The sequence below is a fragment of the Homo sapiens genome, chromosome 15 (genome assembly GCF_000001405.40).
Source record: "Homo sapiens chromosome 15, GRCh38.p14 Primary Assembly".
NCBI classification, from domain to species: Eukaryota; Metazoa; Chordata; class Mammalia; order Primates; family Hominidae; genus Homo; species Homo sapiens.
The window spans coordinates 41,352,203-41,375,945 of NC_000015.10; the positions used below are offsets into that span (position 1 = coordinate 41,352,203).

General features: G+C 44.7%; 1 protein-coding gene across 23 annotated transcripts in view; it reads left to right on the forward strand.

The window, feature by feature from the left end:
- Nucleotides 1-23,743, forward strand: part of NUSAP1 (nucleolar and spindle associated protein 1) — a 48,166-nt gene that overhangs the window by 19,322 nt on the left and 5,101 nt on the right. For 6 of the 23 annotated variants that reach the window (XM_006720559.4, NM_016359.5, XM_006720560.5 and 3 more), the window contains exons 5-9: nt 3,837-3,938; nt 5,947-6,056; nt 13,200-13,387; nt 19,325-19,482; nt 23,510-23,626. In XM_006720559.4, the coding sequence (XP_006720622.1) occupies nt 3,837-3,938; nt 5,947-6,056; nt 13,200-13,387; nt 19,325-19,482; nt 23,510-23,626 (675 nt within the window). The remainder of the gene's footprint in view (nt 1-3,836; nt 3,939-5,946; nt 6,057-13,199; nt 13,388-19,324; nt 19,483-23,509; nt 23,627-23,743) is intronic. The other 17 variants (XM_005254428.4, NM_018454.8, XM_047432639.1 and 14 more) reach the window with 3 other exon arrangements.

Below are 23,743 nucleotides of genomic sequence, written 5' to 3' on the forward strand. Positions count from 1 at the left end.
AAGTGCTGAGATTACAGGCGTGAGCCACCGCACCCGGCCTTCCTTTCGCTTTCTTTTGCCTACTAAACCTCTGCTCTTAAAAAATAAAAAATAATAATAAATAAATGAAAATAAAATATCTCAGTATTAGTTTCACCTGGGCAAATCTGCTAGGGCCCTGAGCCTTGCCAGAGGAGGAGTTAGAGAGACTGAGAGAGGATAATTCATTCCAGTATCCACCAAGCAGTTAAATCTGGAATTTCTAATCCTGAGCCTTCTCATTTTCCCTAAAACTTTGAGTGTCATACTGAATCTAGAAAATTACAGGATTCCTTGGGTCTGAGATGGGCTTGGGAATCTTCAGTTTTTAACAAGTCTCCCAGGTAATTTTTAATTTTTATTTATTTATTTATTTATTTATTTTTGAGACAGGGTCTTGCTCTGTTGCCCAGGCTAGAGCACAGTGGCACGATCTCAGCTCACTGCAGCCTCAGCCTCCTGAGTACCTGGGACTATAGGCATGCACCACCACGCCCGGCTAATTTTTGTATTTTTAGTAGAGACAGGGTTTCACCATGTTGCCCAGGCTGGTCTCAAACTGCTGAGCTCAAGTAATCTGCCCACTTCAGCCTCCTAAAGTGCTGGGATTACAGGTGTGAGTCACCATGCCCAGCCAGCATTTTTTAATACAGGCCAGTTTTTTGTCCTCTGAGTTGGTTTGTCTAATATGTCCTCATGCTTAGAATCAGACTATGGGCTGTTGGCAGGAATCCCAAAGAGCAATGCTGTTGCTTCCTCAGTAAGCACCCTAGGAGGCACAAGTGCTGGTTTTTCCTATGGCTAGTCACGTTAACTTCCATCAGTTAGTTATGGTGGTGTCTGCTAGGTTGTTTCTTTGTGAAGTTACTCTTTTACCACTTGGAATTAGTAAGTATCCTGTGGAGAGTTACTCTACATAAATATCCTTTCTTTGTTTTGTTTTGTTTTGAGACAGAGTCTCTCTCTGTTGCCCAGGCGGGAGTACAGTGACAGGATCTCGGCTCATTGCAACCTTTGCCTCCCAGTCTCAAGCAATTCCACTGCCTCAACCTCCCAAGTAGCTGGGATTACATGTGTGCACCACCATGTTTTTGTTTTTTCAGTAGAGACAGGGTTTCACCATGTTGGCCAGACTGGTCTCGAACTCCTAATCTCAGGTGATCGGCCCACTTCGGCCTCCCAAAGTGCCAGGATTACAGGCGTGAGCCACCAAACCCTGCCAAATATCCTGTTTCTCATGAAACTTTCACCTTCTGGTTTTATAGCCAAAGTCTAAGCAGAAGCCCCTGCGACCATTCCAACACTGACAGAACATTCCTCTGCCTTGTTTTACGGATACATTGGGGAAACTTAAGGATGAGAACTTTAGAAATGGTATTTCTTGGAAACCCACTTGCTTGTAAATCAGTGGTTGAAAGAAAAGAAAAAAATAATTAAAAAGAGATGAAAGCTCATTGCATATTTTTAAAATAGATTGCCTGAAGTTGAAAAAGATGTAAGATTGAGGCTTTCTTATATTTGTAAGATTAGACTCATAGCTCTATAGCATATTATACGGGGCCCTTTATGGTTTAACCCGCTACCTGTCCTATTCTCAACGTCCTCCACTCCCTCTTATGCACCCTACACTTCAGCAATTTCAGCCTACCTCAGTTTCTCTGAATGTCATTATTTCCACTGTACTACAGCTTTATATATCACTATTGTTCCCTCTGCCTGGAATGGTTCTTTTCCATCCTTGCCTAATAAATTCCATTAAGGTCAAAAAAATAAAGAAACGACAGAATTTGGAAAATGATTATGGTAAGTGGGAAAAAATACCTAACCTAATATATACCATAATTTCAACTGAAGTTAAAAAATAATAATAATAAGCTGGCTACAGTGGCACATGCCTGTAGTCCCAGTTACTCAGGAGGCTGAAGCAGAAGTATCACTTGTGCCCAGGATTTTGAGGCCAGCTGGGCAACGTAGTGAGACCTTGTCTCTTCACAGAAGCAAACAGGCCAGGCGCAGTGGCTTACGCTTGTAATCCTAACACTTTGGGAGGCCAAGGTGGATGGATCACCTGAGGTCAGGATCGAGACCAGCCTGGGTAACATGACAAAACCCTGTCTCTACTAAAAATACAAAAATTAGCCGGGTGTGGTAGCTCACACTTGTAATCCCAGCTACTTAGGAGGCTGAGACAGGAGAATCTCTTGAACCCTGGAGGCAGAGGTTGCAGTGAGCCAAGATCGCGCCACTGCACTCCATCCTGGGCGACAGTGTGAGTCCGTCTCAAAACAAACAAATGACAACAACCAAAATAAGTATAGGAAGCAGAGGACCAGAGGAAATATGCCAGACGTTAATGGTGTTTTCTTTGGCTGATTGGATTACGTGACTTTTATCACTAGTTGTAACAATATTATGTTCATAATAAAAACTGAAAAAGTTTGTTTTAACCGATATATATATATATATATATGTTTAATTTATATTAAATAATTTTTTAGTAATAGAGACGGGGTCAGGGCAGGGCGCGGTGGCTCACTCCTGTAATCCCAGCACTTTGGGAGGTTGAGGCAGGCAGATCACAAGGTCAGGAAATGGAAACCATCCTGGCTAACACGGTGAAACCCTGTCTCTACTAAAAATACAAAAAAAATTAGCCGGGTGTGGGGGCGGGCGCCTATAGTCCCAGCTACTCGGGAGGCTGAGGCAGGAGAATGGCTTTAACCCGGGAGGTGGAGCTTGCAGTGAGCCGAGATCACGCCACTGCACTCCAGCCTGGGCGAAAGAGCGAGACTCCATCTCAAAAAAAAAAAATAGAGACAGAGTCTTGCTGTGTTGCCCAGGCTCGTCTCAAACTCCTGGACTCAAGCCATCCACCCACCTCAGCCTCCCAAAGTGCTGGGATTACAGGCATGAGCCACTGCACCTGGCCAACTTTCTGTATTTTTATTTTATGTATTTATTTATTTTTTTTGAGACAGAGTCTCGCTTTGTTGCCAGGCTGGAGTAGAGTGGCGTGATCTCAGCTCACTGCAACCTCCACCTCCTGGGTTCAAGCGATTCTCCTGCCTCAGCCTCCTGAGTAGCTGGGATTACAGGCACGCCCCACCACGCCCAGCTCATTTTTGTATTTTTAGTAGGGACAGGGTTTCACCATGTTGGCCAGGATGGTCTCCATCTCTTGAACTCATGATCCACCCGCCTCGGCCTCCCAAAGTGCTGGGATTACAGGTGGGAGCCACCGCGGCGCCTGACCAACTTTCTAATATGTTTATATAACTTCTCCACAGGTGTCAGAAAATTTCTGAATGCCTACTTGAAGCATATGACCTGTAATCGTAGGAATGCTGTAACTAATTTTTTGTGCTCCCTATGTGCTGTTTCTACCACCATCTTGACAGAGCCTACCATGTGAAAATACTCTGTTAACTTACACACGTTTTTTTTTTTGTTTTTGTTTTTGTTTTTGTTTTTTTAGAGGTGGAGTCTCACTCTGTTGCCCAGGCTGGAGTGCAGTTGCGCGATCTCGGCTCACTGCAAGTTCCGCCTCCCGGGTTCACACCATTCTCCTGCCTCAACCTCCCGAGTAGCTGGGACTACAGGCGCCCACCACCACGCCCGGCTGACTTTTTGTATTTTTAGTAGAGATGGGGTTTGATAGTTTATAAGCCAGGATGGTCTTGATCTTCTGACCTCGTGATCCACCCGCCTCGGCCTCCCAAAGTGCTGGGATTACAGGCGTGAGCTACCGTGCCCGGCCACATATTTCTTAATGAGAACTTTTTTGAAATCCTTCATTATTTCTGTGTCTTTGGATTTAGGTAACAGAGATTCAAAGGTACCTTCAGAAGGAAAGAAATCTCTCTACACAGATGAGTCATCCAAACCTGGAAAAAATAAAAGAACTGCAATCACTACTCCAAGTAAGTTTTGTAGACAAAGCCATAATAAGTAATGGTTGCCCCACTTCGGAATGATGTTGGACTGTAACAGCTGAAAGCATAGAGGCTGGAACCAGTTTACATTCTAGTTCTCTCGTCTTTTAGGTTTGATATCTTGGGGAACTTACTCATCCTCAATAAACTCACTTCCTCAGTGCAAAGTGGAAATAGTTATACTATAGTGCCTATTTCTTTCTTTTTTTTTTTTTTTTTTGAGACAGAGTCTTGCTCTGTCACCCAGGCTAGAGTGCAGTAGCGTGAGCTTGGCTCACTGCTACCTCCACTTCCCAGGTTCAAGTGATTCTCCTGACTCAGCCTCCCTAGTAGCTGGGACTACAGGTGTGCTCCACCACGCCCAGCTGATTTTTGTATTTTCAGAACAGATGGGGTTTCACCATGTTGGCCAGCATGGTCTCAACTTCTTGACCTCATGATCCGCCTGCCTCGGCCTCCCAAAGTGCTGGGATTCCAGGCGTCAGCCACTCTGCCTGGCCTATAGTACCTATTTCATCAGGTTGATAGATACATAAATTGAGAATACTTTTTCCACTACTGCTTCCCTATCACGGCAAATAGCATGCAGCAAGGATTCAATAAACAACTGATGAATCAATGTATGAACTACTTGGTACAATATCCACCTTCTAATGAGTTTTTCATAAGTCTAAATGATTCCGTTTTTGGGCATGTAAGTCTTCTCTATCTTATATTGTTGGAACATTGCTTGGCACATAGAATGTTGATTATTATATTTATAGTAGTTGCAATGCTGCTTATCGTATATTCAAAATTCAATAAATGTTCATATACTTAATCAGAATAGGATACAGTTGGGGTCAGCAAACTGTTGCCTGCCTTGGCCTGTCTTATATCCTTTGAGCTAAGAGTGGTTTTTACATTTTTTAAAGAATTTAAAAACAAGAAGAATGGCCGGGTGCGGTTCTCACACCTGTAATCCCAGCACTTTGGGAGGCCCAGGGGGCTGGATCACCTGAAGTTGGGAGTTTGAGAACAGCCTGGCCAGCATGGTGAAACCCCATCTCTACTGAAAATACAAACATTAGCCAGGTGTGGCGGCAGGTGCCTTTAACCCCAGCTACTTGGGAAGCTGAGGCAGGAAAATCGCTTGAACCTGTGAGGCAGAGGTTGCAGTGAGCCAAGATCATGCCATTGCACTGTAGCCTGGGCAATAGAGCAAGACTCCGTCTCAAAATAAATAAATAAATAACATAAAAACAAGAAGAATATGAGACAGAGACCATACCATATGTGGCCATAAAGCCTAAAATACTTTTTTTTTTTGAGACGAAGTTTTGCTCTTGTTGCCCAGGCTGGAGTGCAATGGCGCAATCTAGGCTCACTGCAACCTCCACCTCCCGGGTTCAAGCGATTCTCCTGCCTCAGTGTCCCGAGTAGCTGGGATTACAGGCGTGCGCCACCACACCTGGCTAATTTTTGTATTTTTAGTAGAGATGGGGTTTCTCCATGTTGGTCAGGCTGGTCTCGAACTCCTGACCTCAGGTGATCTGACCGCTTTGGCTTCCCAAAGTGCTGAGATTACAGGTGTTGAGCCACCATGACCAGCCAAGTCTTAAATACTTTTATCTAGCCCTTTATAGAATAAATTTGTCAGTCCTTGACATACAGCATTATAAAATATCAAATTCATTATTAAATAAAGACCACTTGTGACTAATTGGTAGGGGAGAAGATAAATCTTCTACTCTAATCCTCTGGATTAAACCAAGATGTCAATTTAGTGAAATTTGTCAGTGGGGAGATGGTGAATGTTTGATAGTTTATAAGATGAATGTGCTTTGCCCCTGAGTTTCCAAAAACTAAGTATTTTGAAATTAATGTTTTAGCAAAAATTATATTGAAGTTGAATGTCAGGGATGCAAAGAAGAGAATAAGTGTTAACAGAAAAACACAGAGAAGATAAATAAATGGATTTTGTTTTGTTATTAATTTTTATATTGGAACATTCTAGACTTTAAGAAGCTTCATGAAGCTCATTTTAAGGAAATGGAGTCCATTGATCAATATATTGAGAGAAAAAAGAAACATTTTGAAGAACACAATTCCATGAATGAACTGAAGGTATGTAGATAAAATTATGTTCTTAATGGAACTAAACTGTTTGATTATAATTTTGAAACTATATAACACCGTGGTTACAACAACTGGCTGTCACTCTACCAGTAGATTTGTTTGAATTTAATATATCTTTATCTAAAACTTGCTTTCCCCTACCCTGAGAATTTTCAAAGTCCTCTAGATAAAACAGTGAATCCATGGCCAAGCGCAGTGGCTCATGCCTGTAATCCCCGCACTTTGGGAGGCCAAGGCAAGTGGATTACCTCAGGTCAGGAGTTCAAGGCCAGCCTGGGCAACATGGTGAAACCCTGTCTCTACAAAAAATACAGAAAATTAGTAGGGGGTGGCACATGGCTGTAATCCCATCTACTCAGGAGGCTGAGGCAGGAGAATCACTTGAACCAGGAGGCCAACATTGCAGTGAGCTGAGATCGCGCCACTGCACTCCAGCCTGGGTGACAGAGTGAGACTCCGTCTCAAAAAAAAAGAAAACAGTGAATCCTGACTATGAGAAACTATTTCCAAAATGGCAATGTCATTCTACTTTCCATATTCAGATGTTTTGCCTATTACTTTCATTGATGATGAACCAACTTATGGCTGAAGCCATCTTCTTTCCCTCGTCCCTTATGTAAAGGAAAATGGGTGATTAATAGTGGCAAACCTGAAGGGTTCCTGTGGTAACAGCTCCCTCGAGGGCTTTCAGTCCAGGTTCCACAGGACTCAAAGCCTCCTCAAGTAAGAGAAGGTGATAAAGTCAACTCTGAGGCTGAGTTAGCAAAGTAGTGAGTAACATTCTAGCAAGTTGATGTTATTGGTATCTGGTGTTAAGGCAGTGCCGAATGGAGGGCAGGAAACACATTTTTAAATATTTATGGATTTATGTATTTTTCTCATAAAGACAGGGTCTCCCTATGATTCCCAGGCTCTCCTTGAACGCCTAGGCTCAAGTGATCCTCCCACCTCAGCCTCCCAAAGTGCTGGGATTACAGGTGTGAGCCACCAGATTATATTTATTTCTATTCGCTGTATTTAATTCTTAACCCCATGTTTATTTTACATAACTTCCCTATTTCTCAAAAAGAATTTAAGGCCTATTCTCAAAATAATGTAAGTTTATGGTATTAAATATAAAATAGTATAGTCAATTTAAAAGCGGCAGAAAATTAGCACTGTTAGTAGGTACAGTATTTACTACCATCAGTCACTCAGCTGAGTTTAAGTTTTCTGGCAGCTAGGGCCAAGAGGAAAACTCACTGGGTGATAAATTGTAAATAATTTAAGTACTTAAGCTTCTTGGTGAGAAGCTTAATTGAAATAATAAACATTCATTTTAACGATGTAAAACCACTGTTACAACCATTTTTTTTCTTTTCTTTTCTTTTTTTTTTTTGAGACAGAGTTTCGCTCTTGTTGCCCAGACTGGAGGGCAATGGTACAGTCTCAGCTCACTGCAACCTCTGCCTCCCTGATTCAAGTGATTTTCCTGCCTTTAGCCTCCCCAGTAGCTGAGATTACAGGCGCCCACCACCACACCCAGCTAATTTTTTTATTTTTAGTAGAGACGGGTTTTCACCATGTTGGCCAGGCTGGTCTTGAACTCCTGACCTCAGGTGATCAACCCACCTCCCAAAGTGCTGGTATTACATGCATGAGCCATTGCTCCCATCCTCACTGTTACCACATTTGAAGGCACTGTTTGTCAAACTTTTTTTTTTTTTGAGACTCAGTCTCACTCTGTCACCCAGGCTGGAGTGCAATGGTGCGATCTTGCCTCACTGGAACCTCTGCTTCCCGGATGCAGCAGATTATTTTGCCTCAGCCTCCCAAGTAGTTGGGATTACAGGTGCCCACCACCACACCCAGCTAATATTTGTATTTGTAATTTTATTTATTTTTTTTAGATGGAGTCACATTGTGTTGCCCAGGCTGGAGTGCAGTGACACAATATTGGCTCATTGCAACCTCCACCTCCTGGATTCAAGTGATTCTCCCACCTCAGCCTCCCAAGTACCTGGGATTACAGGCAACCACCACCACACCCGGCTAATTTTTGTTTGTTTGTTTGTTTGTTTGTTTTGACACAGTTTCACTCTTCTTGCCCAGACTGGAGTGCAATGGCGTGATCTTGGCTCACCACAACTTCCACCTCCCAGGTTCAAGCAATTCTCCTGCCTCAGCCTCCTGAGTAGCTGGGATTATAGGTGCCTGCCACCACGCCTGGCTAATTTTTTGTATTTTTAGTAGAGACGGGGTTTCACTATGTTGGCCAGGCTAGTCTTGAACTCCTGACCTTGTGATCCACCTGCCTCAGCCTCCCAAAGTGCTGGGATCACAGGCATAAGCCACGGCGCCCAGCCCCTGCTAATTTTTATATTTTCAGTAAAGATGGGGTTTCACCATGTTGGCCAGGCTGGTCTCGATCTCCTGACTTCAGGTGATCCACCCACCTCAGCCTCCCAAAGTGCTGGGATTACAGGCGTGAGCCACCACTCCTGTCCTCACTGTTACCACATTTGAAGGCACTGTTTATCCATCTTTTTTTTTTTTTTTTTTTTGCGATGAGTCTCACTGTGTCACTCAGGCTGGAGTGCAGTGGTGCGATCTTGGCTCACTGCAACCTGCACCTCCCGGGTTCGACAGATCTTGCCAGCATGGCAAAACCCTGTCTCTACTAAAAATACAAAAATTACCTGGCCATGGTGGTGGGTGCCTGTACTCCCAGCTACTCAGGAAGCTGAGACAGGAGAATCGCTTGAACCCAGGAGGTGGAGGTTGCAGTGCATGGAGGTCACACCACTGCACTCCAGCCTGGGCAACAGACCAAGACTCCATCTCAAAAAACAAAAAAAATAGGCCAGGGCGTGGTGGCTCACACCTGTAATCCCAGTACTTTGGGAAGCTGAGGCAGGCGGATCACCTGAGGTCAGGGGTTTGAGACCAGCCTGACCAACATGGAGAAACCCCATCTTTACTAAAAATACAAAATTATCTTGGCATGGTGGCGCATGTCTGTAATCCCAGCTACTCGGGAGGCTGAGGCAGGAGAATTGCTTGAACCCGGGAGGCAGAGGTTGCGGTGAGCCGAGACCATGCCATTGCACTCCAGCCTGGGCAACAAGAGTGAAACTCCATCTCAAAAAAAAAATAATAATAATTTAAGTTAATTTAAAAAAATGTTTCAGCCAGACACAGTGGCTCACACCTGTCAATCCACAACTTTGGGAGGGTTAGGCCGAAGGATCACTTGAGCCCCAGTGTTGAAGACCAACCTGGGCAATACAGTGAGACTCCATCTCTAAAGAAAAAAAAAGAGTCAAGCTGCTGCTTTCTATATTTTGTAATATGGATGACATAATTTTCTAAGTAAAAGTTAAGGACAGAGCAAGAACGACTGTCTCAACCATAAACGTTGAGTATTGCTCTAGAAAATGTGTTGAATAAACGAATAGTTTATCTTACTTTTTAGTATAACTCCAGCCTGGTAGACCCATCTGAATGAGTTTAGTTCTAAAATAACACTGTTCACCCTGAATGTTTAAGGAACTGGCCTATCAGATATATAACTTGGTATGATCTCTTTGGAGACTAGAGAATTAAAAAAAAAAATTACAATAACTTCACCATACCTGAGATGAAGTTGCTCCTGGCACATTTGGGGCTTGGTCATTTAGATGGTGATGGACAGTAATAAGCAGATATCCTAAAGAGATCATTCTGGCCATGACAGCCTCTCTTTGACTTTTATGATAACAAAAGACAGACTTGTTTGATCTAGTTGTCAAATGGCCCTCTAAAAAGATCAGAAAACTATCTGGGTGTGGTGGCTCATGCCTATTATCCCACCTACTTGGGAGGCTGAGGTGGGAGGGTTGCTTGAGCCCAGGAGTCAAAGACCAGGCTGGGCAACATAGAACAACCCCATCTCAAATAAACAAATACATATATACCTACATTTAATTAATTTATTTTAATTAATTTATCTATTTATTTATAATAAAAAGATTGGAAAACTTGTATTCCAAGGTACCTTATATAGTTATAAATCTCTATATTTTATAATTGGCTATTTTTATGCAGATTTGCTTTTTCTCAATTATTATTCTTATTTATCTATATTAATGGTATATATTATCTGTTTTAAGTACTTTTCTATTGTTTATCTTTTTTTTTTTTTTTTGATACGGAGTCTCGCTCTGTCACCCAGGCTGGAGTGCAGTGGCATGATCTGCAATCTCAGCTCACTGCAAGCTCCTCTTCCCAGGTTCATGCCACTCTCCTGTCTCAGCCTCCTGAGTAGCTGGGACTACGGGCGCCCGCCACCACACCCGGCTAATTTTTTTTTTTTGTATTTTTAGTAGAGATGGGGTTTCACTGAGTTAGCCAGGATGGTCTGAATCTCCTGACCTCGTGATCTGCCTGCCTCGGCCTCCCAAAATGCTGGGATTACAGGCGTGAGCCACCGTGCCTGGCCCCATTGTTTACCTTTTAACTAGATTAATAGTATCTTGCCTTGTGGAAGATTTTTAATTGTAGTTATATTTATCCAACTCTTCCTTTTAAGGCTTACTTTTTTGTCATGCTTAGAAAGGTCTTGACTTCAGCTACTCAGGAGGCTGAGGCAGGAAAAATGCTTGAAGCCCGTAGGCGGAGATTGCTGTGAGCTGAGATCGGGCCACTGTCCTCCAGGCTCAGTGACAGTGAGACCCTGTCTCAAAAAAATGTATAGACATATATACTTATATATATGGCTGGGCACAGTGGCTCACGCCTGTAATCCCAGCACTTTGGGAGGCTGAGGTGGGTGGATCACCTGAGGTCAGGAGTTCAAGACCAGCCTGCCCAACATGGCGAAACCCCGTCTGTACTAAAAATACAAAAATTAGCCAGACGTGGTGGCAGATGCCTGTAATCCCAGCTGCTCTGGGTGCTGACCAGGAGAATTGCTTGAACTCAGGAGGCGGAGATTGCAGTGAGCCAATATCACGCCATTGCACTCCAGACTGGGCGACAGAGCAAGTCTCCATCTAAAAAAAAAAAAAAAAAAGATCTTGCCTGTCTGTGTGTGTGTCTCTCTCTCTCTCTATATATATATACAATTTTTATATAAAATTATATACATATATATATATTTTTTTAGACAGAGTCTCACCCTGTCACCCAGGTGGTAATTCAATGGTGCAGTGATGGTTCACTGTAGCCTCAACCTCCTGGGCTCAGGTGATCCTCACACCTCAGCCTCCTTAGTAGCTGGGACAATAGTCATGCACTACTACACCCAGCTATTTTTCAGTTTTTTGTAGAGACAGGCCTCCCTATGTTGTCCAGGCTGGTCTCAAACTCCTAGGCTCAAGCGGTCCCCCCTCTTCTGCCTCCCAAAGTACTGAGATTATAGGCATGGGCCACCAGATTATGTTTATTTCTAGTCCCTGTATTTAATTCTTAACCTACATTTTTATTTTTCTAAATATTAATTTCAATTGTCATATCTCAGTTGACAGGCAATAAAGTTAATTTTTTCTGCTTGCAACAGATGTTAGACTAATGATAATAAGATATTCAATTACTCTTTGTGCCTTGACAATATCTAAGACAGATACCCTAAGTGAAACCCTTCAAGCATTTATTTCCTTCCCTCTTTTTGTTTTTTGTTTTAAAGGACTTCAAAAAGCTATTGTTTGGGGATAGAGGGAGAGGATAGAATTATTTGTAGATTCCACATGTTAAATATATAATAGGTTCTTTAGGTTTGTTTTTGTAGAGACAAGATCTCCTAATGTTGCCCAGGCTGGTCATGAACTCCTGGGCTTAAGCGATCCTCCTGCCTCAGCCTCCCAAAGTGCTGAGATTGCAGGTTGTGAGCCACTACACCTGGCCTAAGTTTATATTTAATAAACTGTATATAACGTCTCAAAGCTTCCGTATTTCCAAAATAATCTTTTTTTCTTCCTTTGTGGCTACAAGGGACTGTTTTTCTACATTATGTCTCTAGTTAGAAAATGTCTGGCTAGGCTGGGCGTGGTGGCTCACACCTGTAATCCCAGCAGTTTGGGAGGCTGAGGCAGGCAGATCACAAGGTCAGCAGTTCAAGACCAGCCTGGCCAACACAGTGAAACCCCGTCTCTACTAAAAATACAAAAATTAGTCGAGTGTGGTGGTGGGTGCCTGTAGTCCCAGCTATTTGGGAGGCTAAGGCAGGAGAATCGCTTGAACCTGGGAGGCAGAAGTTGCAGTGAGCTGAGACCATGCCATTGCACTCCAGCCCAGGTGAAAGAAAGAGACCCCGTCTCATTTAAAAAAAAAGAAAGAAAGAAAAGATAATGCCCAGATAGCTGGGCACAGTGGCTCACGCCTGTAATCCAAACACTTTGGGACACCAAGGCAGGCAGATCACTTGAGGTCAGGCATTTGAGACCAGCCTGGCCAACATGGCAACATCCTGTCTCTACTAAAAATACAAAAATTAGCTGGGCATGGTGGCAGGTGCCTATAATCCCAGCTACTCAGAAGGCTAAGGTGGGAGGATCGCTTGAACCTGGAAGGTGAAGATTGCAGTGAGCCCATATTGTGCCACTGCACTTCAGCCTGGGCAACAGAGCCAGACTCTGTCTCAAATAAAAAAAAAAAAGAAAGAAAATGCCTGGGTCCATAGCAGCCGGGAAAGGCTTTCTTGTAACTCCTTACTCAGCCTCAACTGGAAATTGCTCTTTATAACAGAATCCCCATAGCAATAAATGGCAGGTAACTGTGGAGCCAGCCAGACAGGTAGAATAGGATGAGGTGAGGTAGTGAGGAAAGAAAAGATTCCAAATGGAGTTACAAATGAGGAATGAAACAGGGATAAATGGAAACGCTCTTCTGAACTTTGCCTAGGAGACAATACTGTATCAGAGGCCAAGTCTTTTTGTTTGTTTTTTGTTTTTGTTTTTTGAGATGTAGTCTCGCTCTGTTGCCAGGCTGGTGTGATCTCGGCTCACTGCAACCTCCGCCTCCTGGGTTCAAGTGATTCTCCCGCCTCAGCCTCCTGAGTAGCTGGGACTATAGGCACATGCCACAACGCCCGGCTAATTTTTGTATTTTTAGTAGAGATGGGGTTTCACCATGTTGGAGAGGCCAAGCTTTTAAAATGATGCATTTTCTCTTCAGCAGCAGCCCATCAATAAGGGAGGGGTCAGGACTCCAGTACCTCCAAGAGGAAGACTCTCTGTGGCTTCTACTCCCATCAGCCAACGACGCTCGCAAGGCCGGTCTTGTGGCCCTGCAAGTCAGAGTACCTTGGGTCTGAAGGGGTCACTCAAGCGCTCTGCTATCTCTGCAGCTAAAACGGGTGTCAGGTAAAGAAATCACTCCAAAATGTAATCATGAACAAGATTTCACATGGACTATATAAAAAAAAAATTTTTAATTGGCAAATAATATTCGTACATACTCATAGGGTACATAGTGATGTTTCTTTTCTTTTCTTTTTCTTTTTTTTTTTTTTGAGATGAGGTCTCGCTCTGTCGCCCAGGCTGGAGTGCAGTGGCGCAATCTCAGCTCCCTGCAACCTCCGCCTCCCAGGTTCAAGTGATTCTTCTGCCTCAGCCTCCCGAGTAGCTGGGACTACAGGTACGTGCCACCATGCCCGGCTAATTTTTTGTATTTTTAGTAGAGACGGGCTTTCATCATGTTAGCCAGGATGGTTTCGATCTCCTGGCTTCATGATCTGCCCACCTCAGCCTCCCAAAGTGCTGGGATTACAGGCGTGAGCCACCACGCCCGGCCCATAGTGATGTTTCAATACATATATTGTATTGTAGTCAGATCAGGGTAATTAGCATATCCATCATCTCAAATAGTTATCATTGCTTTATATTTAGTATCCTCCTTCTAGCTGTTTGAAACCACCATGCGCAGCTAATTTCACAAGGTCTCACTACGTTGTCCAGTCTGGTTTTGAACTCTTGGGCTCAAGTGATCATCCCACCTTGGCCAACCAAAGTGCTGGGATTACAAACGTGCCATTGCACCCAACCTTTCTTTTTTTTTCTTTTTTCTTTTTTTTTTTTTTCTTCATTCAGAGTCTCACTCCATTGCCCAGGCTGGAGTGCAGTGACGAGATCTTGACTCACTGCAACCTCTGCCTCCCAGGTTCAAGCGATTCTCAGCCTCCCGAGTGGCTGGGACTACAGGCACGTACCACCACACCCGGCTAAGTTTTTATTTTAGTAGAGACGGGGTTTCACCATGTTGGCCAGGCTGGTCTTGAACTCCTGACCTCAGGTGATCTACCTGCCTTGGCCTCCCAAAGTGCTGGGATTACAGGCATGAGCCACCGCGCCTGGCCGCACCCAGGTATATGTACCTCTTAAATTTCTCATTCAAATCATGAATTGTTTTCCTGATTTCATTGACTTGTCTGTATTCTCTTGTGTATCTCACTGAGTTCCCTTAAGATTATTATTTTGAATTCTTTTTCTGGTATTTCATATATTTCCCTATGAATAGGGTTACTGGAGAATTACCATTTTTCTTTGAAGGTGACTTGTTTCCCTACATTTTCATGGTTTATGTGTCCTTGCATTGATTTCTACACATCTGTTAGGAAAGTCACCTCTTCCAATTTTATAGAGGAGGTTTCATAGGGAAGAACATACTCATATGAATAGGTCTTAGCGTGTCATTTAAGTGGGGTGTGTTGGCCTTGGTTCTAAGTGGGTACAGGAATATAGTCTCTGTGTAGTTTCTTCAGCTGTAATGCATTTTAGTGGCATTTGTAAGTCTCTCAGTAGCCTAGGCTAAGAGAGTTGGTGGTGATGGTGGCTTTGCCAGGTTTGGGACCGTGGGGCTGTTTCTCAGCCCTGGTATGCAGTTGCATGGCTGCTTGGCTGGCCTTCGGGCATGTCTACCAGAGGCTGCTTACAACGCTGCCTCTCAGGCCCTTACTAGGAGTACAGGGGCGTTGAGCAGGTCAGGGGCTTCTCTGCAGGGGTGAGGCATCTCATGGCTGTTTCTCAGGCCCTAGCCACAGGCACATAGCCACTCAGCCAGCATCAGAGTATGTCAGCTGCTTGAGAGTCTCTCCCGTTCCAGGGAGGGCATGTGGCAGTTTGGCCAGCTCAAGGGCAGGTTCGCCTTGAGCACATCTGCCTAGGCTCCAAGCAACTGGGGTCATGGTGTTGCAGCCACCCCTACCAAGCCCCTGTGGGCTTGGTAGAATGAATATTGAGCCCTAGTAATGGATACATGCAGTGGCCACTGGCCCCCAGCAGAGCACAGTGCACTCCAGAAGTGGCTCTGGTCTGAAGATGGTTCTGTGCTGCAGAAGCTAGTGGCGGGTAGATAATGCACACCTTGTGCTCCTAATCCAGGGCAGTGTAGCTGCAGGAATTCCTGGCAACTCTCCAAACTGGGAGACTTGGGTATTATTAGACTTGGGTATTATTAGACTTGGGTATTCTCCCGTAGTAAGGACTGTAGGTGCTTGCAGTAGCAATGGGGGCTGGTGGGGATCTTCAGTTTAGTGTTTCTTCACAACAGGAATCCCCTCCTGACTGCGGGCAGATCTGATTCTGGTAGAGGAGACAGGGCTGCAGAGGCTAGATGCCTCTGGAGGCCCTCCTGGGCTTCCATTCACCACAGGTGCATCTCCACTCCCCTGATGCACTCCAGTGCTTTCCCATTGACACTCCAGTCAAATCTTAGCTTTTTTCTGTGGTGGCTCCCACCTGTAATCCCAGCTACTCAGGAGGCTGAGGCAGGAGGATCATTTGAGTCCAGAAGTTTGAGGCCAGCCTGGGCAACATAGTGAAAGCTGTCTCCAAAAATAAAATTCTAAAAATCTTAGCTGTTTATTTGTTGCCTTTGTCCTTTCTTGTGGGGGGATGAATGCCAGGCATCTCTAGTCAGCCATCTTGCTGACAGCACTCTGAAATATGTGTTCTTTTGCTTTTGTTTCTGTTTTGTAGAGATGAGGTCTTGCTATGTTGCCCAAGATGGTCTTGAACTCCTGGCCTCAAGCGATCCTCCTGCCTCAGCCTCCCAAAGTACTAAGAATACAGGCATAAACCACCATGCCCAGTCAGATATTCTTCATTTTATTAATATATGACTGCCAAGATGCCTAAGGAGAAACTTTTCCATTGACTTAAATATAGAAGTGAAGCTAAATGCTTACAGAAAGTATCTCATTACAGTGAACTGAAAAATTAACTCTTCCTCAAATACCAATATCGTAACCTAGTGGGAACTACAGTATCATCACTATCTCATGCCCCATTGATCCCTGTTTTTGTTTACTTGTAACTTTTCTGACATCAAAGTCACCTTCAGTGGGACTTTCCCCATAGATCAAAGTCTTCAGATTACTTCTAATATCAAAACTTTATTTTCTACTTTTTTAAAGACATTTGCAGTATCTAATAGAACTGGTGCATGACAGCCCTTCTCCAACATGTGCAATTATCTAACATAATTGTATTTTTTATTTTATTCTTTTTTTTTTTTTTTTTTTTTTTTGAGACAGTATTGCTCTGTCACCCAGGCTGGAGTGTGGTGGCGCAATCTCGGCTCACTACGACCTCCATCTCCTGGGTTCAAGCAATTCTCATGCCTCAGCCTCCTGAGTAGCTGGGACTACAGGTGTGTGCCACTACATTCAGTTAATTCTTTTTTTTGTTTGTTTGTTTTGTATTTTTAGTAGAGGTAGTGTTTCACCATGCTGACCAGGCTGGTCTAGAAATCCTGGCCTCAAGTGATCCACCTGCCTTGCCCTCCCAAAGTGCTGGGATTACAGGTGTGAACCACCACACCTGGCCTATTCTATTTTTGAGACAGGATCTTGCTCTGTCACCCAGGCTAGAATTCAGTGACACAGTAATGGCTCACTGCAGCCTTGACTTCCCAGGATGAAGCGATCTTCCTGCCTTGGCCTCCCAAAGTACTGGGATTATAGGTGTGAACCATCTCACCCAGCCTGCCCATGTTTTAATCAGATTTTTTTTTTCCTGTTCCTCCAATGTAGTTTTTCAAACTTAAAAATGGCTTTAAGTTTAGAATTCTATTTATTGAATTAGCTTGGAATATGAAGTACCTGTAATTGGTGGTTCTGATTTCATTTAAGAACACCATGGTCCAGGTGCGGTGGCTCACACCTGTAATCCCAGCACCTTGGGAGCCCGAGTTGGGTGGATCACCTGAGGTCAGGAGTTCAAGACCAGCCATGACCAACATGGTGAAACCTCGTCTGTACTAAAAATACAAAATTATCTGGGCATGGTGGTGTGCACCTGTAATCCCAGCTACTTGGGAGGCTGAGGCAAGAGAATCGCGTGAACCCAGGAGGTGGAGGTTTCAGTGAGCCAAGATCATACCATTGCACTCCAGCCTGGGCAACAAGAGCGAAACATTGTCTAAAAAAAAAAGAACACCATGGTCAGAGGTTTGGCCCTTGCTTCACTGAAATGTACAGGTGGGTCTGGACTTCACACCATAAGATACCATTAATTGAATGAAGGCTCATTGTTATTTTATGAACCATTAAGACAAATTAGACCAGGCATGGTGGCTCACACCTGTAATCCTAGCACTTTGGGAGGCCGAGGCGGGCAGATCACGAGGTCAGGAGTTCAAGACCAGCCTGGCCAACATAGTGAAACCCCGTCTCTGCTAAAAATACAAAACAATTAGCCAGGCATGGTGGCAGTCGCCTGTAATTCCAGCTACTTGGGAGGCTGAGGCAAGAAGAATTGCTTGAACCTGGGAGCCAGAGGTTGCAGTGAGCCGAGATCACGCCACTGCACTGCAGCCTGGGTAACAGTGCGAGACTCCATCTCCAAAAAAAGAAGAAAGAAAGAAAGACAAATCAGCCAGGCGCGGTGGCTCACGCCTGTAATCCCAGCACTTTGGGAGGCCGAGACGGGCGGATCATGAGGTCAGGAGATCGAGACCATCCTGGCTAACACAGTGAAACCCCGTCTCTACTAAAAATACAAAAAAAATAGCCGGGCGTAGTGGCGGGCGCCTATAGTCCCAGCTACTTGGGAGGCTGAGGCAGGAGAATGGTGTTAACCCAGGAGGCGGAGCTTGCAGTTAGCTGAGATCGCACCACTGCCCTCCAGCCTGGGCGACATAGCGAGACTCCGTCTCCAAATGGGTGAATGGTTGAAGCCCAGGAGTTTGAGAGCAGCCTGGCCAACATGGCAAAACCCCATCTCTACTAAAAATATAAAAATTAGCTGGGCGCGGTGGCTCATGCTTGTAATCCCAGCACTTTGAGAGACTGAGGCAGGCGGATCACCTGAGATCAGGAGTTTGAGACCAGCCTGACCAACATGGTGAAACCCCATCTCTACTAAAAATACAAAATTAGCCGGGCATGGTGGCGCATGCCTGTAATCATAGCTACTGGGGAGGCTGAGGCAGTAGAATCGCTTGAACCTGGGAGGCAGAGGTTGCAGTGACCCAACATCGCACCATTGCACTCCAGCCTGGGCGACCGAGCAAAACTCCATCTCAAAAAAAAAAAAAAAAAAAAAAATTAGCCAGGCGCAGTGGCACATACCCATAGTCCCAGCCACTCGGGAGGCTGAGGCAGGAGGATGGCTTGAGCCTAGGAGGCAGAGGTTATAGCAAGCTGAGATCATACCACTGCATGCCAGCCTGGGTAATAGAGCCAGAACCTGTCTCAAGAAAAAACACTACCAATTAACTATTGACATCTTATGAATTGTAAAAACACATCCCAATTTCAGAGATGTTAAAATGTAGAAAAAATACTATCAGTCAATCAATCAAATACATTTGTGGCAATTTGCCATATGTAAAGAATGGTAAAGAATGGGCTTATTTCTCTACCACACAAATGAATGACATTCTTTTAGGAACATACAAGACCTGTTCTCACCACTCACCTAGCATAGCAGTCTTCTGCTACCTGTGACTTCCCCTAACCTGGAGGAGGAGGAGGAGGAGGAGGAAGGGGAGCTTTTGGCTTGCCTCTTGGACTATAATGAGGCCTCCACACCTATTCCTCCATCACCATCATTGTCCAAGGCAGGGAGAGCAGAAAAGACAAGAACATATTTTACAAATAATGTTAGTTGATATGTGATTTAATTTAGCATTAGCCTTTTAGGAATATGTCTCTTCTGCAAAAGAGGTTCGTTCCTATGACAATTATTAATTGAGGCCCTTTTCACTGCTTGCTAATAGTCAAGTGGTTTTATTTATAAGCTAGACACAAGTTACTCTTGCCACAGTACTCATGTCTTGTACTCTGCTGTCCTATTTAGGTTTTCAGCTGCTACTAAAGATAATGAGCATAAGCGTTCACTGACCAAGACTCCAGCCAGAAAGTCTGCACATGTGACCGTGTCTGGGGGCACCCCAAAAGGCGAGGCTGTGCTTGGGACACACAAATTAAAGACCATCACGGGGAATTCTGCTGCTGGTAAAAAAAAAAAAAAACAAAAGAAATCTGTTTCATTTTTAAGCCATGTAACTTCCCAAAATGATTAGGTATATCTGTTTTTTTTGTTTGTTTGTTTTTTTCTGAGATGGAGTTTCGCTTTTGTCACCCAGGCTAGAGTGTAATGGCGGGATCTCGGCTCACTGCAACCTCTGCCTCCCAGGTTCAAGCAATTCTCCTGCCTCAGCCTCCTGAGTAGCTGGGACTACAGACACATGCCACCATGCCCGGCTAATTTTGTATTTTTAATAGAGACAGTTTCACCATGTTGGTCAGGCTGGTCTCAAACTCCTGACCTCAGGTGATCCGCCCGCCTCGGCCTACCAAAGTGCTGGGATTACAAGCGTGAGCCACTGCGCCCGGCCTGTATCTGTTTCCTTAAACCCTTTCCATTTCTATAATCAAAAGCAAAAATTTTACCATAGTGTATTTTTAATTGTGTACTAGTGGGGGAAATGCCAGAGACATAAGCAAAAACCAGATATCTGCCTGAGAGCTCCATCTAATCCTAAAATGGTGACCCTCCAGGAAGGGCACTGTGCCCCTTGTGGGACTCAGGGATTCGGAGGATGAGCACAGTATTCGTTGCAGCCTCGGAAAGGTCCTGGAGGACTCTGACACTAACAGGATCCCAGACCACAGACTTCATGTTTCAAGATTCAACCATGTTGACTCGTTTTCACAGTATTTTTCAGTGGTGTGGGTATATGTCAGTTTATCTATTTTACTATTCACGAACATGTGGGTGGTTCCAGCTTCCATTATTATATATGATGTTGCTATGAATACTCTTAAACATGTCTCCTGTACATGTGCAAGAGTTTCCCTAGACCTAGGAGCAGGACAGCTGGATTGGAAAATATGCAGACATTTACTGTCCTGAATGAATTGTACCAATCTGTGCTTCCAGTGGCAGTGTATGGCAGTCCCTTGTTCTACTCCCTGTCAGCATTTGATACTGATACAGTGGGATAGCTTGAACACAGGGTTTTGTGCTTTTTTTTAACTAAGTGGTCTTAGATCCTGATTGCTGTTTCACAGATGTAGGCAAGGGTTCACATTTGGCAATGACCTGTGGCTTCCCCCTATGAAAAGAAAGGATTGGCCGGACGCAGTGGCTCTTGCCTGTAATCCCAGCACTTAGGGAGGCCGAGGTGGGTGGATCACTTGAGGTCAGAATTTCAAGACCAGCCTGGCCAACATGGTGAAACCCCAACTCTACTAAAAATACAAAAATTAGCCGGGCATGGTGGCATGCACCTATCATCCCAACTACTCAAGAGGCTGAGGTAGGAGAATCGCTTGAACCAGGAAGCAGAGGTTGCAGTGAGCCGAGATTGTGCCACTGCACTCCAGCCAGCCTGGGCAACACAGTGAAACCCTGTCTCAAAAAAAAAAAGAGATTGGGAGAGAAAGGATTAACTGATGGCCAACTGTAGCAAAAAGGCTAACTAAACTACACCATCCTTAGGCTGGGCATGGTGGCATGGAGACCAACCTGGCCAACATGGCAAAACCTCGTCTCTACTAAAAATACGAAAATTAGCCGGGCGTGGTGGCACGCGCCTGTAATCCCAGCTACTCACTTGAGAATCACTTGAACCCAGGAGGCAGAGGTTGCACTGAGCTGAGATCACATCACTGTACTCCAGCCTGGGAGACAGAGCAAGACTCCGTCTCAAAAAAATTAAAAAAAACTACACCATCCTGGATATTTTTAACTTCGTGGTGCAAAAATTCATATTCTTTTTTTTTTTTTTTTTTTGAGACGGAGTCTCACTCTATCACCCAGGCTGGAGTGCAGTGGCACCATCTTGGCTCACTGCAACCTCCGCCTCCTGGGTTCACGCCATTCTCCTGCCTCAGCCTCCCGAGTAGCTGGGACTACAAGTGCCCGCCACCACGCCCGGCTAATTTTTGTATTTTTGGTAGAGACAGGGTGTCACCGTATTGGCCAGGTTGGTCTTGAACTCCTGACCTCGTGATCCGCTCACCTCGGCCTGCCAAAGTGCTGGGATTACAGGCATGAGCCACCGCGCCCAGCCAAAAATTAATATTCTGAAGTGATAAGAGCCCTTATTAATAATATTCCTGACTTTAAACAATCCTCCTGCCTCAGCCTCCCAAAGTGCTGAGATTACAGGTGTGAGCCATATCTGTTATCAGGGAAATAAGCTGAAAAGTTACCGTCATTTCCTTCAACAGAATTCTAAACTCCCAGCTGATCCTAGGATCCCAGCACTTTGGGAGGCCAAGGCAGGTGGATCATGAGTTCAGGAGATTGAGACCATCCTGGCTAACACACTGAAACCCCGTCTCTACTAAAAATACAAAAACAAAATATTCAGAACATTTACAAAGCTGCTTAGCAAAGGAAATTAATCTCAATGGTTAGCTTTCCTCAATTATTGTTTTCCCCTTTTCTCCATTTTAACCCTTATTTCAGACTTTCATCTATTTCAGACTATTCATGTAGATTGTCTTAGTCCTTTGCGGCTGCTATTATATAACAAAGCACCAAAGACTGTATCTTATAAACAGCGGTAATTTCTTTCTCATAGTTCTGGAGGCTGGATGAGGGCAGATCAGGGCACTAGCATGATTCTGGTGAGGGCTGTTTTCCAGGTAGCAGACTACCAACTTCTTGTTGTATGCTCATGTGGCAGAAAGAGAGCTAGAGAAAATTCTATGGGGTCCCTATATAAGGCCCTGAATCCCATTCATGACCTATTTACCTCCCAAAGGCCCTACTTCCTTACACCAGTCATATTGACAGTTAGGATTTCAATATGAATTTGGGATCGCAGGAGATACAAACATTCAAGCTATAACTTTTTTCTTTTTTTGAGACACAGTCTCACTGTCGCCAGGCTGGAGTGCTGTGGTGCAATCTCGGCTCGCTGCAACCTCCGACTCCCTGGTTCAAGGGATTCTCCTGCCTCAGCTTCCTGAGTAGCTGGGATTTTGGGCACACGCTGCCACGCCTAGCTAATTTTTGTATTTTAGTAGACACGGAGTTTCACTATGTTGGCCAGGATGGTCTCGCTCTCTTGACCTCATGATCCACCTGCCTCGGCCTCCCAAAGTGCTGGGATTACAGTCGTGAGCCACTGCACCCAGCTTCTTTTTTTTCTTTGTTTGTTTCTTTTGTTTTTTTGAGATGGAGTCCCACCCTGTTGCCCAGGCTGGAGTGCAATGGCGCAATCTTGGCTCACTGCAAGCTCCACCTCCCGGGTTCAAGTGATTCTCCTACCTCAGCCTCCCGAGTAGCTGGGATTACAGGCACGTGCCACCACACCTAGCTAATTTTTTTTTTTTCCCTCTCTGAGATGGAGTCTTGCTCTGTCACCAGGCTGGAGTGCAGTGGCACGATGTTGGCTCACTGCAACCTCTGCTTCCCGGATTTAAGCAATTCCCCTGCCTCAGCCTACTCGGCATGGGACTACAGGCATGCACCACCACGCCCAGCTAATTTTTTTTTTTTTTTTTTTTTAAACCAAGTTTCGCTCTTGTTGCCCAAGCTGGAGTGCAATGGCGCAATCTCAGCTCACCACAACCTCCGCCTTCCGGGTTCAAGCAATTCTCCTGCCTCAGCCTCCCGAGTAGCTGGGATTACAGGCATGTGCCACCACCCTGGCTAATTTTGTATTTTTAGTAGAGATGGGGTTTCTCCGTGTTGGTCAGGCTGGTCTTGAACTCCTGACCTCAGGTGATCCACCCGACTCGGCCTCTCAAAGTGCTGAGATTACAGGTGTGAGCCACCACACCTCTAGATAATTTTTTGTATTTTTGTGGAGACAGGGTTTCACCATGTTGGTCAGGATGGTCTTGATCTCCTGACCTCGTGATCCGCCCACCTCGGCCTCCCAAAGTGCTGGGATTACAGGTGTGGGCCACCATGCCCAGCCTATAACGTGTATTTTTAAGATTGAGAAGTAACACTTTGATAAACACTTTACCAGGTCTTTGTTTCTAATTAAGCTCTTGGGTTTTTTCGGTGTGTTTTTAGTTATTACCCCATTCAAGTTGACAACTGAGGCAACGCAGACTCCAGTCTCCAATAAGAAACCAGTGTTTGATCTTAAAGCAAGTTTGTCTCGTCCCCTCAACTATGAACCACACAAAGGTATGTGGGAGTGTTTTGAGCTACAGGGCCTGTAAAATACTTAAGATTGGTGGGACGCAGTGGCTCACACCTACTAAACATACAAAAATTAGCCAGGCGTGGTGGCAGGCACCTGTA